The following is a 16981-nucleotide window of genomic DNA, read 5'->3' as shown; positions in this document are numbered from 1 at the left end:
GAGACCAACCCAAATTGACAACCAACAGAATTATGAGTTAAAAATAGTTGCTTTTTAAGCCACTATGTTTTAGGGTGGTTTGTTCCCACTAACAAACTAACTCTAGCAAAAGCTAATGGCTACACCAATGTTTGAGGCCCACACTTGTGGAATTGGATGAATTGGTCTGGGATGGACTTTAGGTACAGTATATTTTAAAAGCTCTCTGGGTGATTCTCATGTGCACCCAGGGTTGAAAACCACCAGTCTAGATGAAGGCAATCAGTGCTTCATGGCCTGGGCTATAGGTGAGTTAGACCAAGGGTTAACCCAATGGGACTCCTTTGAAGCTTGTGGATATCTAAATTTTTTTCCCATAAGTTATTGGGGTACAGGTGGTATTTGGTTACATGAGTAAGTTCTTTAGTGGTGATTTGGGAGATTTTGGTGCACCCATCACCTGAGGAGCATACACTGCACCATATTCGTAGTCTTTTATCCCTTGCCCCCCTCCCACTCTTCCCCCCAAGTCCCCAAAGTCTATTGTATCATTCTTATGCCTTTGCATCCTCGTAGCTTAGCTCCCACCTATCAGTGAGAACATACGATATTTGGTTTTCCATTCCTGAGGTACATCACTTAGAATAATAGTCTCCAATCTCAGATATCTAAATTTAAAATGAATAGATGGGCTGGGTGAGGTGGCTCATGCCTGTAATCCCAGCACTTTAGGAGGCCGAGGTGGGCAGATCACTTGAGGTCAGGAGTTAGAGACCAGCCTGGCCAACATGGTGAAACTCCGTTTGTACTAAAATTAAAAAAAAAAAAAATTAAGCTGGGTGCATGCCTGTAATTCTAGCTACTTGGAGACGGAGGTGGTGGGAGGATTGCTTGAACCCAGGAGGCAGAGGTTGTAGTGAGCCATTGTGCCACTGCACTCCAGCCTGGGTGACAGAGTGAGACTCCATCTCAGAAAATAAAATAAAATAATAAAATAAAATAAAACGAATAAACAAACTCATTAGCTCATTAACTTAGAGAAAATAATAAGCCAAGATAAAATCTGTATAAAAATGTTAGTATTTTCAAAAATCTGGGGCAAATGCAAAGATGGAAGGGACTTTTGATAAAACCAGGTTTAACCTTGACCTTGTACAGGTGGAGAAACTGAAGCCCAGATGATTTAAATGACTTGCTCAAAGCCATACAACTAATTTGTTGCAGGGTTTAGATTTCATATGAGGCCTTATTTTTTTTGGTCTATTTTTCTTGATTCTTCCATAGGGTGACAATAACATGATCCTTCTTTTGACTCACCATATGTGACCTCATACAAAATCTGTGCAAAGATAAGTCTAGGACAGGCTATCTCTAAAGTGTTAACAGGTTAAGAAAAAAGGTAGTTTTTATGGAGCATCTCTCATCTTTTGTGATTTATAACAAGGATAACAGGTTTGTTGATTATAAGATGTGTCTTGCATACTGTCAGAGATAGAAATTGTAGTCTCACTAAGAACAAATTTACTGTTTTTTTATGAAACCACAATGGGGTGCTGTAGGGGGAAGAGTGCTTAATTCCTTCCATGAAAAGAAAAAGAAGGCAACTGAGCCATGGTCAATGAATTAAAGCAGTTTATTTAACATTAATTGCAGAATTTACAGCACTACCATTTAATGATAGGAATAAAAATAGAAAGAATCCAGTGTAAGCGATGTTGCAGACAAAACATTGGGGTGGGAAATGAGCAAAACTGAAAATGCAATTAACATTCAAAGAAATCTTCCAAAAGGACTGGGAGCTTATCAGGGGATGGGCATCCCCTTGATGATGAAGCGTGATCCTCATCCCCACCAGGATTTCAGGGCAGCCACTGAACATATACCCTGTTGACCGTCCCTGGAAAGTCTTTCAGCACAGTCTGACTTAACATGTTTGAGATGGGGCAATATCTGGATTATAATACACTTTGGAAATATAGCGCAGGGTGAAAGACGGTAATAGTGTGCATTTGTGTGTGGGTTTTCTTTTTCAAAACGGAAGAGAGTGCAAATTTTAGGGGTGTGTTTTCCTGATTTTAAACATGAGAGGTGATGTCAAAGGGATCAACTGAAAAGAAAAGTTTAAAGTTTTTCCCTACGATTTTCTTGGCAATAATACCCGTGAAAGCAAGAAAATAAAACAAGAGGCGTATATGTGACTCTCTGATCTCTTGTCCTTTTGGAATCTGGAAAGAGACTTTTAAAAGGTAGTTGGGTTTCCACAAAGGACTGAGTTTCTAGAATAGCTACCTGGAAGGCAGGTGGCAGAGTACGGTCTTTGAGCATATGGTCAACGGAGGCTCACACTCTATAGCCATTTTCCCATAATTTAATGGGTCCCTTTTTAAATTTTGAAACTTTAAACAGATCTGGGACAAATTCTTCTCTCTTTACCTCCTCCTTTCTTCCCTCATTATAGTCACCTTTCAATACCATCAAGCAGTCAACAGTATAGAACAAAGGATGCAAGTTCTGCAGGCCAGCATGTGAAATTTAAAGGTATTTTTAAATAGCAAGAATAAACACATCTGAGGCCAGGGTCTAAAGTGAGAAAAGACCCAGGACTGACTTGGATTCTGAGAACAAAACTGGATGGAAGAAAAGATACTGGAACTTGTTTTCACTCACTTTGGTGGAAGGATAGCTCCTCTTGTAATAATTCACTGACCAAGGAAGGATCTACAGTATCTGTGTTAATAAAGTATTGTCTGGGTGGAAAAATTTGAATAGAAAGAATGAAAAAAAATGGACCAGCTCTTTCCCTCTGGTCCAGGAGAACACTTTTGAGAAATGCAAAGATGAAGAAGAGAACTAATTGAAATGCTGGTCAATCCCTAATTATCTTTTCCTATGATGCTCTTTGGCATCCTAGACTTGGGGAGAAAAGACTGAACTGCTCTTGGATTGAGAAAGGTTAGGTGATCGAAGATACGAATTAAAAGAGAAACCAACACCAAGATTTTGCCTGTATCATCTCAGTCCCTGCATCTAAACTTTAGTGGTTATTTATCAAGTTATCAATGTGGAGCTTGTGTTTTTGTTTCAGAAATTTCAGTATGCCAGGTGTTTTACAACATTTCACGGTAAGAAGTTTGCTGGCACCACTTGGACTTGTGTAACACAAAACTGTAAAGAAAGGAAATAATATTCTACCTTCAAGGAAGTATCTGTTAATGGTATGACTACCTATCCGATTGCTAGTCTTCGGACTCTTTTCTTCCCAGGTGGCAGGTTCCTTGTCATAATCTGAAAAAACTTTCCTAGAGATAAAGCTGACTCTTATGCTAAAGGCCAAACTGGACCAAAGCAAAGGATATGGGGGGATAAAAACCTCAAACTCTACAACTTTTTGAATAGGATTTTCAAGCAGAGATAAAGTAGGCATTGATGGGCCATGTTTTTGGCTGGGGCAATAGCTGTGATTCAGCCTGTCGCCCAAGACAGATCAACAGCATAGGCAATGTGCACTGCCCCTGCCCCCTGAGATGGGAGCAAAGCACAGGGAGATAGTGGGGTCTCCTTTTCCCTCTTGTATTTTTCCAGATCAAAGAATTGAGAATTGCTAAAATATAACCTAGCAAACAATAGGAAACCCCATTCCATACCTTTCTTTGTTTTCTAAATAATCATCTCCAAAAGGTATAGATGGGATAGCTAAACAGGATGCAGAGGATGGTGGGAGGGGGACTTCTGATGTGGAAGAGCCCCACTGGATGGAGGGGACCTGGATCCTTTGCAACCCCAGGATGGAGGAAGAAGCCTTTGGTAATGTCCCATGTAAAGCCACCAGATGGGCTGCAATAGCCTTGACTGGATAGTGTGCAAGGTGGGGAAAGGTGAGTGCCTGGTGGCCCACAGAAGATTCAAGGTTACTATTTTCTTTTTCTTGCCTTTCATGTATGAACTGGAGTCTGCCTTCATGCTGGCACATGCTCAAGACCAAAGGATTGCAGGGAAGTGTTGGAGTCCAGAGAGAGTGAGGTTAGAGATTTTTGGCCCAGTTCTCTTTAAAGCTGACAGATACAGAGATTTCTTCCTAGTACCAAAACCTACCTTCCAGCCCATGACCTGCCTTTTCCCAGGCCAGGCCCATGTTTCCCCAAGAGGGCAGGAGAGAAAACCAGGCCAAGCTGAGGTAATTTTGTAGTTATGTGTCTCCAAGGAAAAGGACATCCATTGGCACAAAGCACTGAGTAAAAACCCTTTAATAACAAAATAACATTCATGATGTAGCTACTTCAGTTGTCTGGAAAACTCAGCTTACACTTGATTCAACATACCACTTTCCACAATGTTAAAAGAAAAGGACATAAAATGGCATAACAAAATATACCTTGGGTTTCATAAGACAAGTCTTCTTGGCAAAGTGTAACCAGCCAGACCCATGCATTGCCTGTGATTAAAAAAAGGGCTGGGTACACTCATGTCTCAAATACTCCTCTACTTTCTTTGGATCAAAAATGGATTTGAACTTTGTAGATTCTACAATATCTGCATTAAGAGGAACAGTTTGTGGGTTTGTGAGTGTCAGGAAAACTTTGCTGAAACAAATATCAATTTTATTGTGGAACAACATATAAAGCTTTCTGGAAGATTAAACACTATTACAATCATCAATTGTCTTACAAAAGCCAATTTGAAAAATTCTTGTATCTGTTCCCATCTTTGGCAGATTAATAAGAGAAAAATAAAAAGACTATATATCAAAGTTTACATTACCACAACCTAATTTATAAGGCCAAATAAAAATATGTTGCTTTTTATTATTCACGAGAGCACGTTCCCAATATACCCTCATTGACAGATAATATGAATGCTACACTGTCAGTGATTTCCAATATTTTGCATAGCAGACTGCTGCTTTTCAACCAAGGTTCCCTAGGCTGCATACTCCTATGCAAAATAAAGTGTGCTTGGCAGTTGATTTGGCTTTATGTCAAGCATTTTGGTTTGGGAAATATGAAACTGGAGAATGGGTCTTTGAACCCAAGTATAAGAAAGAACAAGTTTGCCCAATCCCCTGCAACTGAAAAATAGTTTTGACATATAGAGGCCTCAGATAATTGAAGGATTTAAAGAAGATGGTTTTCCTAAAGTGGGTTTCAAAACTTCTTCTTATATTACCTTTTAGATGGTAGATGGAACATTGTTGGGCAGGTAAAAATTAAGTGAGAGTCACCTCCAAGTCTAGGGAGGGACAGCCATGATAGCTGCACATGTGAAGTTTTGGGAAATGGCTGCGTATTTTTGCCCAAATCACTGGAACAGTTGGTGGGAATGTCTAGGAGAGTGGACAAAAGAGAAGTGGGCAGAGAAGAGTTAGTAATATTGATGCCATTTGAGTTTCTACTGGGAGCTGACCTGATCACAAAATACGAGAAGAAACCACGCATAGTCAAAAATAGCCATTCCCAAGCAGAGATCAAAGAGGGCCACAGCTAGATGAATTTGCATCTACATATACATGGCCAGTTAGGTCTAAGTTCATGAGCATAAAGCCAAAATAACTCCTTTTGGTGGAAATTAAATATGCAAAGGTGAGTTTTTCAATACTCGCTTTCAAATCCCTCTCACATACGGTGATATATTTGGGTTATGAGGATCCCAATTTGTGGAATGCAAATTGGCTAACTCAAAAATTAGGAATAACGTTTCTCATTATAAAGCTGGAACCCAATTCAATGTGACTCATTTTCAGATCCCAACAGATGTAAAGGGTATTTTCGAGGTGACACATCTCCCAATAAAACCAATATTACCACCGTCTGAGGCTGAACTGTGTACATTTTCACAGTTTAATGTATACACAACTGTTCCACAACTGCTAACAAACAATAGGCGCCCATGCATAAATAAAGTCCATTGAACCAAAGGGGAAGATCTAGTTCAAAATGAAAAATGTTGCTATTAAGACCACAATGCATCACACTGCTAAATTTTTAGCCTCATGCATAAAATTATAGCACTGATTGGCAGTTGCTAATCATAATACTACACTGTTAACACGGAACAATTAATTGTTCAGACCAAGTGGCACAAATGTAGAAAATAATTATTCTTTTCAACAGAGCAAATGAACACAGATTGTTTCTTCAGCAAAATATGAAACTGTAAACTTTGGGCTCATTCTGCAACTTTCCCCAATCCAGCATAAATAAAATCCAAAGGGGGAAAAAAACATACATTTTCTTTTTAAGCGCACCTTTTTTCATCTATTACAAAAGCACAACCTAAAACGTATAAAGCTTTTTTTTCTTTTTTCTTTTTTTAAATCACAGTTACCAAAAGAAACAGTGAATAATTTATTACATACGCTATAATAACATTACTCTAAACACTATTGTCTATGAGGTATATCTGAGAAAATTCGGTAAGGAATTGCGCGGTCTGCATTGCCAACATGCCCAGGTTCATAGTAAAGCTTTGGAACCGTGAAGAACTAGAAAAAAGGGAAGAACGAGGGAGGCAGAGGAGGAGACATAGAGAAAGAACCTTTGGTATTAGTACAAATCTTGTTCTTTGCAGGGTTGCATTGCAAAGCACCACAGTACAATAAGCCCACCAACTGACTGTATGGAGGCCCAGTTGAAGCTGAGGTATTCACAGGAAGAATTAAAAAAAGCACAGAGAGGTCCAGACTGGCTAAATCGTTGCTTTGGTTCAAGCAAGGCACTCGTCCCGTGGTTATGTCACACTTTGCAAGTGAAGCATGAGGCTGGGGGGATTGCTGAGGAGAGGTCTGCCAAGTGGGGATGTTTTCTGTGTTCAGGCTGCCATCGCTCTTTCTAGATCCTCTCTCGTATGGGTGTGGCAGTAGGAAAGATGGGGAAGGTGATGTTCACTTATAGGGAGCTCTGCTGCTCAATGAATTAAGTCATCTTTGCTCTGTCTCCCAGGGATTCTGAGAGTTCTAATTCCAATAGGAATTTAGGAAGAAAACCAAAGCAATGTACTCTTTGGAAGGAAGGCCTTACAGGTTTGCCTTGTATAGGGAGAAGATGGGCCTTGAGCTTGTTTGGACAGGAGGGAACTTTCACATAGGATGGTGCTTGAAAACTTCAGAAAGAGAGTAACAGTGTTTCCTACAGTTTGTCAATCTGTCATTTATATTCCTCTACTAGCTATGCTTTGTTGATGCATGGAACTGATGAGTTGATTGGTCCCTTCCTCTCTTTGCTTCTTTGTCTAAATGCTCTCTTTAAAAGCTCAAAATAACTACATTATGTGAAATGCAAAATACTAGCACTCAAAAAGAGCCATATGGACTAGAGGCAGATCTTTGCATTTGTCTAAAACCCATTTGGTCAAAAGCTGAGACAGATTCATTGGCTAACACACAAATCACGTTGATGAATGGCTCTTAATAGTGATTTAATCATTTAATGGAATCTAAAGAAACTTGAAGAAGACCAATTAATTTCATGAGTAAGAAGGAAAGAGAGAAGCAACTTTAAGTAGCCATTTCTTAAACTGGCATATTCCTCTGTAATTTTGGGGTCATTTTTCATTTACCACAAATAACCCTTTAGTATCAAATGATGTAAGGCTTAAACTTCTCTCATAAATACAGAGTTGGCTTAGAAATGAAATGTAAACACCTACAACTAAAAAGGAAAAGGCTGAAGAGCTTAAATGTCACATGTGCCAATGGTGGTCAAGTTCCCTTTCTTGATAAATACTGACTTTAAAGTACCCATAATAATCAAAGCCAACAGGCCAAGAATGAACTTTCTCCTCCTACTGAATTAAAAAGTTATCTATACAATGCTTTGTAATGGAAAGGTTCAAAAGTGATCACATCATTGGGATCAACATGTTTTTCCTAGGGCAAAAATCCCGTATGAGCCCTAGTATTTCAAGACAGGCCACCTTCACGAAGCAACCGACCATATGTGACTATGTACTAATGGGACACTGAAAATGCTTGTGACTAATTTTACAGCTGAAAATGTTAAGAGATAAACCCCAGTCCCTGCTCATTGCTAAAGGATTGCCACCATCCTATTTGTCAATGTGGGACCGCTCTCATGCAGAGGTAGCACTGTACAATAAGCGGAGCACTGGGGCAGGAACCAGGAGGCATGTGTGGGCTTTCACTCTCAAGAGTTATTTGATTTGGATAACTATTTCATTCCTCTGGGCCACCGGGGCTTGGACTAAATGATTCCTAAGGTCTCTTCCAGCTCAACTACTCAATGGTCAGAGCTTCTGTGGTTCAGTAATTGGCAGTCTTTACTGTGACAGGTCCCAGCGGGGATAGAGGCCATGGCTAGGACTGAAGGCCATTTCCAACCAGTTTCCTTCCTCAATTTGTAATCAGAATTTAAGGAATCCAATTACAGCAGCATCTGAACTCGCATCTTGAACATGTCGAGCAGACAGCAAACATATAAGAGAAACACAGAAAATATCCCTTTCCAAATTAGCAGCCGCCGTCGCATAGATAATTATTTCTTTGGGGTATCTGAGCTGTGGCTGTACATACCATATGTCAGAGAAAATCGTTCAAATTATAAAAGAGCACAAGCAAAATGCAGACCGCACAGAGAAAGAAATCTTTGGTATCTTTGGTGTCATCAACACGATTAAAATTACAAATGGAAAAAGTCAGTGAGGTAGCCTTCTTTGGTTCTCACTAGAAATAGAAAGTTTTTCATTTTTTTTTTCTTTTTTCTGCTTTTTGTTTTTTTCCTTTTTTGTTTTGTTGCTTTACATACACACAGAGTTCATTCTTGGAAGCAGCTAGTGTAAGGGTTTCTCTCTTTTTGTTTACGATTTTTTTAAAATTTATTTTTCCAGTTTCTGTATAGAAGCCCCGAAATCCAGGCTGGTGAAGCAGGGTCTCAGCTTATGTTTTCTGAATGCACAGGTTCAGGCTGAATAGTCATTGCTTGTCCACAAAATTTGCTCTGTTGTTCTGACAGCAAACAAACTGCAGTGCTCTCTGTTGTTTTAAATTAAAAATATAAACTATACAGTGCACCTTTCACAGATGCTGAATAAGTTAAATAAATAAGTTACAATATGAAGGCTCCGAGGGCCACAATAATTAAGAGGTGAAGTTCGCCTGGTACCAGGTGGGGCTGCGAACTTAAGTTAAATAATTTAAAAATTGTTACTTAGACTATTTTAAAAGTTAATTTAAGAGGGAAGAATATCCCAAATTCTCTTTTTGTAACCTGTATTTCTTCCCTGTCTGTAACAGAATTTCACTGCTTTATAAAGCAAACTAAACTTCAAGAGTATTCCAAGTAGAATTTTGCATCTCTGATGCACCATTGGTCTAGGTTTTGATAAATAAGTACAAGGAGTAGAATCAAACTAAGGAAGGATGATTAAATAATTACCCAAATCCTATACATTTATGTACTAGGAACTAATTTAAATAAGTTAATTACATTAATGGTACTTAGCTTGTTGGGTCATAACCCAAAGAGACAAGATAAAAAGCATTCTGTGGGGTGGGGCAGAGGGTGTCTTCATTTTTTGACTGACAACATGTATAACTTCATTTGATAGTCTAAATAAAAACAAAGCAGGAAATTATAACCTCTAAAACTTTCTCATGTTAAAGACCATTTAGATGTGACAAGCATGAAAAAAATCACCACTCCCCACTAGCTAACGCAGTCTCCCCAAGACCGCAGTACCATTGTCTCAATCCTGGAAACCAGAGCCCACTGTCTCCCCATCAGTTTGCGCTTGACTTTATTATTTTTTCTTCTTTTTCTTTGTTTTTTCTTTTTTTTTTTTTCTTTTTGTCCTTTTTCAGGTCTTTGGATTTAGCTTTAGTTATGAAAAATCCAGAATAAAGCTATTCAACCGAAGTCATCAATCATAGGTGTCATCCTAACACAGATGATTAAATAATATACAAGATTTCTTGAAAGTTGAGTTTATCTTGGATATGCCCAAATGAAATTAATTCCAAGTGTACAGGATGAAGATGCTGGGATACTTTTGTTTTCCCTGCACTGTGGTTTTCAATGTTACAATAAATAATGAAAACAATGTACACTGTAGAAGTACCACATACATGTTAAACGATGATTTAAAATTTATTTGTTGTAACGGATTACAGTATATACGTATGAAGCTTGTCTGTACACACTTGTATGTACACAGTCTAGACACCTATAGGTAATGTGTGTTGTTATAAAGTCATCTATGAGAACACATGTTAAAATATGTATCTAAATTTGTATACATCCAAGCGGACAGACTGTATAAACCTTAGGCACACTTATCTGCCAAGGTTTATGCTACATGAAATGCTTGCTGCTAAAAATGGAGCAGAGTGGAAGACTTCTATGGGATGAACAAGCTGGTAGCAATGTCTTTTTCTCCACTAGAAAAGGTATTAGCTGGTTACTTCCAATCAACCTAACTCCAAAACCTCCAAGGAAAGCTTGGGCTCTAGCAATAACTGCTTCAGGCTGTCAGAGTCATTTTGGTGTGTGAGAATAATGAGCCTCATTTAAGGTCCTGTGTGATTCACACAACAGCCCATCAGCCTCAATGGTAAGTTCTGTATCTACCTATGTGAGGTCCTATATATTTTAATAACTACTTCTGTATTTTATAAGTATTCTGAGACTTTCTAAAACAGATAAACCCTCCCCTCTTTCCCTCCCCGACCTTGGAAACAAACAAATCATTGATAGAAAACAGGCATTGAGACATCCATATTTAAAATCAACATCATTATCTTATGAGACTTATACAACCAACTGGGGTGCCATTCTTCATTCCGTAAGGATTTTTGTGGCCTTATTTTAAAACTAGAATCTCCTGTTGTTTCAGGGGTGACTTGATCTTAGCTAAAGATAAAAAAATTACTAATATATCAAGTTTGGCAGACAAATATCAGAAAGTTATAGATACACCAGCTCTACCCCTTCTTCATCTACCATTTCCACTTACTCTTCCTGGTTAGGCTGAGAAGTCTGAATCACACAGCATCAGCAACAACAAAAACAAAAAGTCAGCTCTAACCTGTTACGAATCTAGAAGATTATCGCCAAGGTAGTTGTGCCTGGGCCTTGTGGTCAACCTTGACCACATGTATTATCTTTTTCTCCACTTTTTAATAGAGTTCATTATTCTTCAACAACATTGGAAACAGGCCTTTTCTTCTTAGATTTTAAAATATCCAACTATTCAAACTCCTGAAAATCCGAGTTCACTACAAAGGCATACTGTCATGACACTTTGGTAATGATAATCAAACAGACATTCCTATAATTCTACCAACATTTTCAAAAGTGGGGAAGTTTCCCCCATACCCAGATAATAGTGATTTTAAAAATCTGTTCAACTTGAATTTACTGGCACTAGTAGGTGGGTGCCCAGTATAGACAAAGAAAATAACTGATTATCTAAAAGGTATTTATTTTTGGTTTTGAAATATGTTGTTTGACTTAGAAAAGTGTGTGTGTATCAGATTTACATTCCAAATGTTGATTTTATTTTAGCTTGAATTGAAAATTATTCTGGATTTGCTAAAGCCTACAATTGCCAAGAGCCTGCAGGGGGAAAAGGGAGCTTAGAAGCAACTCTTTCTGGATTTCTCCAGAGGAAGTGCCATGCTTCCTGGTTCAACTAGCCTGCACCTTTATGCATGGTGCAAGCTAAACACTTCTTTTACATTTTGGAAAAGCTTTTAAATATTGGTGCTGAGTTTTTATTGTTGTTGCTGTTTCCTTTAAAAAAAGAAATGTATTGGCTCTGTCTGTTTTTTTTTATTATTTCCTGGAATGAAATAATTATATCCCTAGTACCAAAATCACATTAAAACAAAAACAATGCAAGCCTATTTGTGTAAAGGAATAAAGTAAATTGTTTTTCCACTCAATGGCTCTGAGTGTTTTGATTTCTGTTGCCTCAAGAATGTGAAATTTGGCTGAGAACTGTTCCTTCACACTGTACCTTTTCCTGATGGTTGAGGAATGCCTGGAATTTTCCTTGGATTGAGGTAATGGATACTAAACTATAACCACACCCAAATGGTTATTTTCTCTGAAATTATTAACTTAAATTTAAAAATCCTTGAGTAAACTCACTGGGTTAAATTCTATTACCTTTCAATATAGAAATTTTTTTCTGTTAGATTTCTAACAAATTGAAATTCTGCAGGGCTTAAAATTTTGATACATAACTGTATAGATACACATATATATTTATATATGTATGTAAATAATTTTCTAAAAGCAAGCACTTTTCTCTGGTATGACATTATCTGGAATGAGACATTTATTAAAGCTCCTTGGAGAGAAATTCTTGCCTTTTTTTTTTTTTTAAACAATTATGACATGTTCTTCTGATTATCAGAGGACTGGTTTGACCAATGTTGTAATGTCAGGTCACAAAGGCAGCCTCTACTAGTCTAGACATCTTCAGAGGATGCTGGAGACCCAAACGCTGAGATTAGTATGTCAAAGAATCACTAACCAAATCAAACAGGCTCCATTCCTCAATCCAGTCTGGAAAAGAGCAACCATTTCCACTGGACACATGTCACAAGGACTCTTTTAGAAATACCCAAGTTGAAATCAACCCACATGGGAACACTCCTCTGCTGAAATATGCTCTTTTCTTAGTCCTTTGACAAAGGAAACATGGAGTATGAGCAAGGGACAAAGGGACACAAGGGAAGAGCCAATGAACAATCTCCTAGGAAGGATGAATTATAAAAATTGTGGAGAGTCACATTCTCTCACAGCTCCTGCATAGGGAGACCCACATAGGGGGAATGAGGAGGGGGCACAAAGAACAACAATGGGGCTCTCTAGGGGCAGGACTCCAGAAGTCTCCCCAAAACCTGCTTTATATTTTCTCTTCAGGATTGAGACACTCTCCCCCATCCCACCCAACACCACTGCCCACCCCAGTGCCAGCTGTGGTTGCACATAGGCTTGTCAAAATACGAATTGGTAATTACCACCCTGAGGAAATCTATCAACCCATTGCAACAGGAGTTGGGCTTCCCCTGTGAGAAGTCCCTTTGGTGGACCTGCTCACTGAGGGGGTCTGGCACACCCAGATGGGACAGGGCAGCTCCTGGAGAACAGATTTCTGGGCTGGCCTCATATTCTTTAACTGGTGAAAATGGACCACCGAGCCTTCCCAACAGTTACAGAAGATGAGCACCCCACTGTCAGGACCCAGTTCTGGGCCGAGTCTGTTGGATGCACTTCACTCACCACCTTAATCGAGGCTGAGGGATAGAATAGAGATGACTCCGAATACAAATAAAACTCATGTACACCATGGATCCATTTATCAACAGGTTAAATGCTAAAATGCTTGATCTTGACTTTAAACCTGTCCCAGAAACTTCCATAGAGATCTGAATACTTCAAATCATCCACAGTGGCAAATTAACTCTGGAATGGCATGAGAAATGAGAAAAATTCTGAACCGAATACTTAGCAAATGAAGCACTGGACCAAAACAAGACATGAATTTGGACAGCAATAATTTTGGTTATCACCAATGTCAAGTTGATCTATATATGTATTTTATATATTATATATATCTTTCTTTAGAAATGCAACTTTACAGCTGATTTTTAAAAAGCTAATAGAAAAGTAGAAACTGGCAATTATTTTTACATGTTTCCCCCCACCCCCAAATGAAGCCCTGTTAGGATGTAGCAATCACATGAAAACGAGGCTGTAAATTCCTCTATAAACTCTTTGGTTCTGTGGCTCGGGAGAGGATGCATCACCAAGACCCCTATCCCTGACCCTCACTCCCTTTCCTTCCCCTGATGATGAGACTCTGAACATAGAAGGAACCAAGTCTAAGGGTTAAGCAAAGAACATTCAAGTGATAATGTTATTCCCTACCCTCTGCTGAGCAGAGAGAACTGTTCAATATCCCAACATCTTAAACTTGGAGTCCATGGAAACTTTTGAGAGATTCCATGTTGGGGCAAAAAACCATAAGACAAAATTGAAATGAAACAATAAAATCAAATAAATGGCCCTTTCCTTTTGTTGCTCAGAGAAACATAATTGATTACCTTTATACAGTTCAATGGCGCTATTAGTATTTTAGCCAGGCAAGAGGAGATAATGAACTGAAACAAAAGGTGTGAGAAATCCTCATCTTTGGTATTGTAGCTGTTGAGGTTTCTGTTGCTCTGTTCCGTGTTCTTTTGAAAAACTGCATAGGCACAAATTAAAGACAATCTTCAGCTTTAAGATTACCGTGTGAGTTGTCAAATGAAGCAGCAGCCACTGAGGCTCTTCCTTATTTCTATCTTTGTCTCAACCCTTTCTTTAAAATCTGCTTCCAAAAAATGTCCCAAGAGGTCTGTTTGAACACAGTGTGTCTCCCTGTTTTTGTTTTCGTTTATTTTCTGGCGTGCTTCCTTCTTATTGGTGGTGATTTCCATTGATTTACGGATTTATTTATTCATTTTAATGGGACAGTTTTGTTTGTTGCAGAAGTAGGTGCAGAAAAAGTTTCTTTGGTTTCGACTAAGTAATTCATAAAAAAGTCAGTCTCAAGTGTCTGTAAAGAATGATTGCAGCGTTTGGCTTGCTTTGAACACCCCCACGTGGCCCCACCCGGGGCCATTCACTGGTAAATATGCACATTGTGACCTTTGCAATCTCCCAGAGTTCTGTGGGCGCTCTTCCACTTGCTATGGGAAGGTGACAACTGGTGTGGCAAAGCCACCCCTCTGGGTGGCTTGGCTAATGTCCTTGGTGTAGCTGGTCCGCTCAGCCCGATGATGCGCCAAATGCAAGAGCTGAATGCCATTCGGAGTTGCAGAGGTTTTCTGATTTCTAAAAGTAATCACAGTATTTTTAGGCTAGAAAATGACAAGTCATAAATGTCTTTGGTTTGCAGTATTCTGCTTCTTTGGTGTGCTGTGTTTTCTCCAGATGTATTCAGCTGTTTTGCAAGGATGATTCAACAACAGAAGAGATTTAGGACTAGATGACAGTCATGAGTAACATGTATGCAGGTTTGATTGATTGATTTTTTTTTCTTGCTAGAAAACACAGAAAACATCCCTACTAATGGGATGGATGAGGAAAAACCCCAAATCAGAAAGAGCGAGAATGGATTACGTGGTGGTCATAACACACAGTAGGAGGGACCAGATGACTGATCAACCAAGGACACATTAATGACCTAAAAAAACCTAGATCTTTTAAAATGCTGCATTCGCTCCATGCACTGTTAACAGTTAAATTGGCCTCCTGAGTGTGCGTCTGCATTATGTACAACAGAATTTGTAGCAAACTGCAAAATGTGCTTGAAGCCATATTCTCATCAATTCCCTAATGACTTCACAATAGGTGTCTTGAAAATCCAGATGTAGTGAACCCAGAACCTTCCTCACTTCTGTTTATCTTTGTTGTGCTTGATACTTTGAGCGCAAGTGAACTGACTGGTTTTTTTGACGGATCCAAGACCATATGAGATTTCCAGGAGGTAAAGAAAAAAAAAATTGTAAGCTGGATCAACTTAAAGCTTTCTAAATCATTCAATGAAAAGATGTCTGGGTTGGAAAAACAGGTCCTTGGATTTTTTTTTTTAACGTCCATATTTAAAACTTGTGCTCAGTAATTACCATTCTGATGTTGTGGCTGTGAACTTGGACATAACATGGTATAATGAGGCTAAGCATGTGGAAAGCAAATGAGGTCATTCTCGTTGCTAGATTCTTCTCTTATTGTTGTATCTTGGAAGCCTAAACTCAGAGTCCTTACATAGGCCAAACTCCTATTGTTACTCATAGGAACTCTGACTGCAAGAAGCTGACAGGACCTGAAGTGGGATGGATGATATTTTAAGCAATCCCGAGCTTGGTTGACACCATACTGGAATTAACTCGCTCCAGGAAGGCCCCATTTGGGTTTCTGGGATGCTTAGCATGCTCAGAGAACAGTGTCTGGTTCTAAGAGATTAATTTTTCAGCTTGCACTTGGACTCCATAGCCATTAAAAACAAAAGAAGAACACCTGGCCTATGATTACAGCTAGAATATAAGTTTCTTTGCAAGAGAATTGTGCTTTCAAATCACCAGTGAAGGGCCCCAGCTAGGAATCCGGTGTCTTTTTCCTTTGTTTTCTTTTGGTATCTGTTGTCCTCATTTGGAGGTGACTTGTGCCCAAGTGAGAGTCCTTCCATCATGCTTTGGTACACGTGCTGGAGGTGGACGAGGAGCCCCCTGTGCTCAGATCGTCTTGCCACTTCTCCAGGCTGCGGCGCCGGGCGTTCATGAAGAAGTTGCTGACGGTTGTGAGCTCCAGGCCCAGCTGCTGGGAAATGGTGATCTGCATCTCCTTTGACGGGCGTTTGTTCTCCTTGAAGATGGCGAAGAGTGTTCGGCGTTGGAGGTCAGTGAACACCAGGCGGGACTTCTTCTGGGAATTGTTCCTGTCTTTGTTTGGTTCTTGCTCTTTGCGTTTGCACGCTTGAAGGGAAAGAGAAGAAGGAGAGGAGTCAGTGGGCTCACCTGAGAAGGTGATCCATGGAAAACATTGACAAAGTTGTACAAAGAGATGTAAACCGTTAAACTTTATTGTGCAAACTGCCCAGCTGTCAATAACCAGCCTTCCCTGTAATCTCCGGGTGATGGAAGGCATCAGTGAGTGAGTGGGGGATGGGAGAAAGGACAAAGCAGCAGGGCTGTTTCACACAGTCTGGTTTTGAGCTAACTGCAGTTGTCTTTCCCTTTTACATCCTCCCTGCTCTAGCATATCCTTGAAATTCTTTATCTCTGAAATCAGGTGCCACGAAGGCAGGGAGGACTCCAGACGCCAGGGTGGGGGAAGCCTGGTGAGGCAGTTCCTCTTTCATATTCACCCTCTCGAATTGTTTACAGCTGAGTTGAAATTACCTTCTGGAGTCAAAACTTAAAAGTGCATAGTTTTTCAGAATCAAAGCTTCTACCCATGTGACTCTAAAAATTGTTAACAGAATGAATTTAGAAGTGACA

At 39.4% G+C, this 16981-nt stretch overlaps 1 protein-coding gene across 2 annotated transcripts in view; it reads right to left on the bottom strand.

Annotated features, from left to right (window-relative positions):
• Window positions 1–1594: 1594 nt before the first annotated feature.
• Window positions 1595–16981, bottom strand: part of ONECUT2 (one cut homeobox 2) — a 55925-nt gene continuing 40538 nt past the window's right edge. For both annotated transcript variants that reach the window (XM_047437947.1, NM_004852.3), the window contains one exon: window positions 1595–16456. In XM_047437947.1, the coding sequence (XP_047293903.1) occupies window positions 16381–16456 (76 nt within the window). In that variant the 3' untranslated portion in view covers window positions 1595–16380. The remainder of the gene's footprint in view (window positions 16457–16981) is intronic.

The sequence above is a fragment of the Homo sapiens genome, chromosome 18 (genome assembly GCF_000001405.40).
Source record: "Homo sapiens chromosome 18, GRCh38.p14 Primary Assembly".
Taxonomy (NCBI): Eukaryota; Metazoa; Chordata; class Mammalia; order Primates; family Hominidae; genus Homo; species Homo sapiens.
Note: the sequence above shows the minus strand (reverse complement) of the source record. Positions and strands in the feature narration are given on the sequence as shown.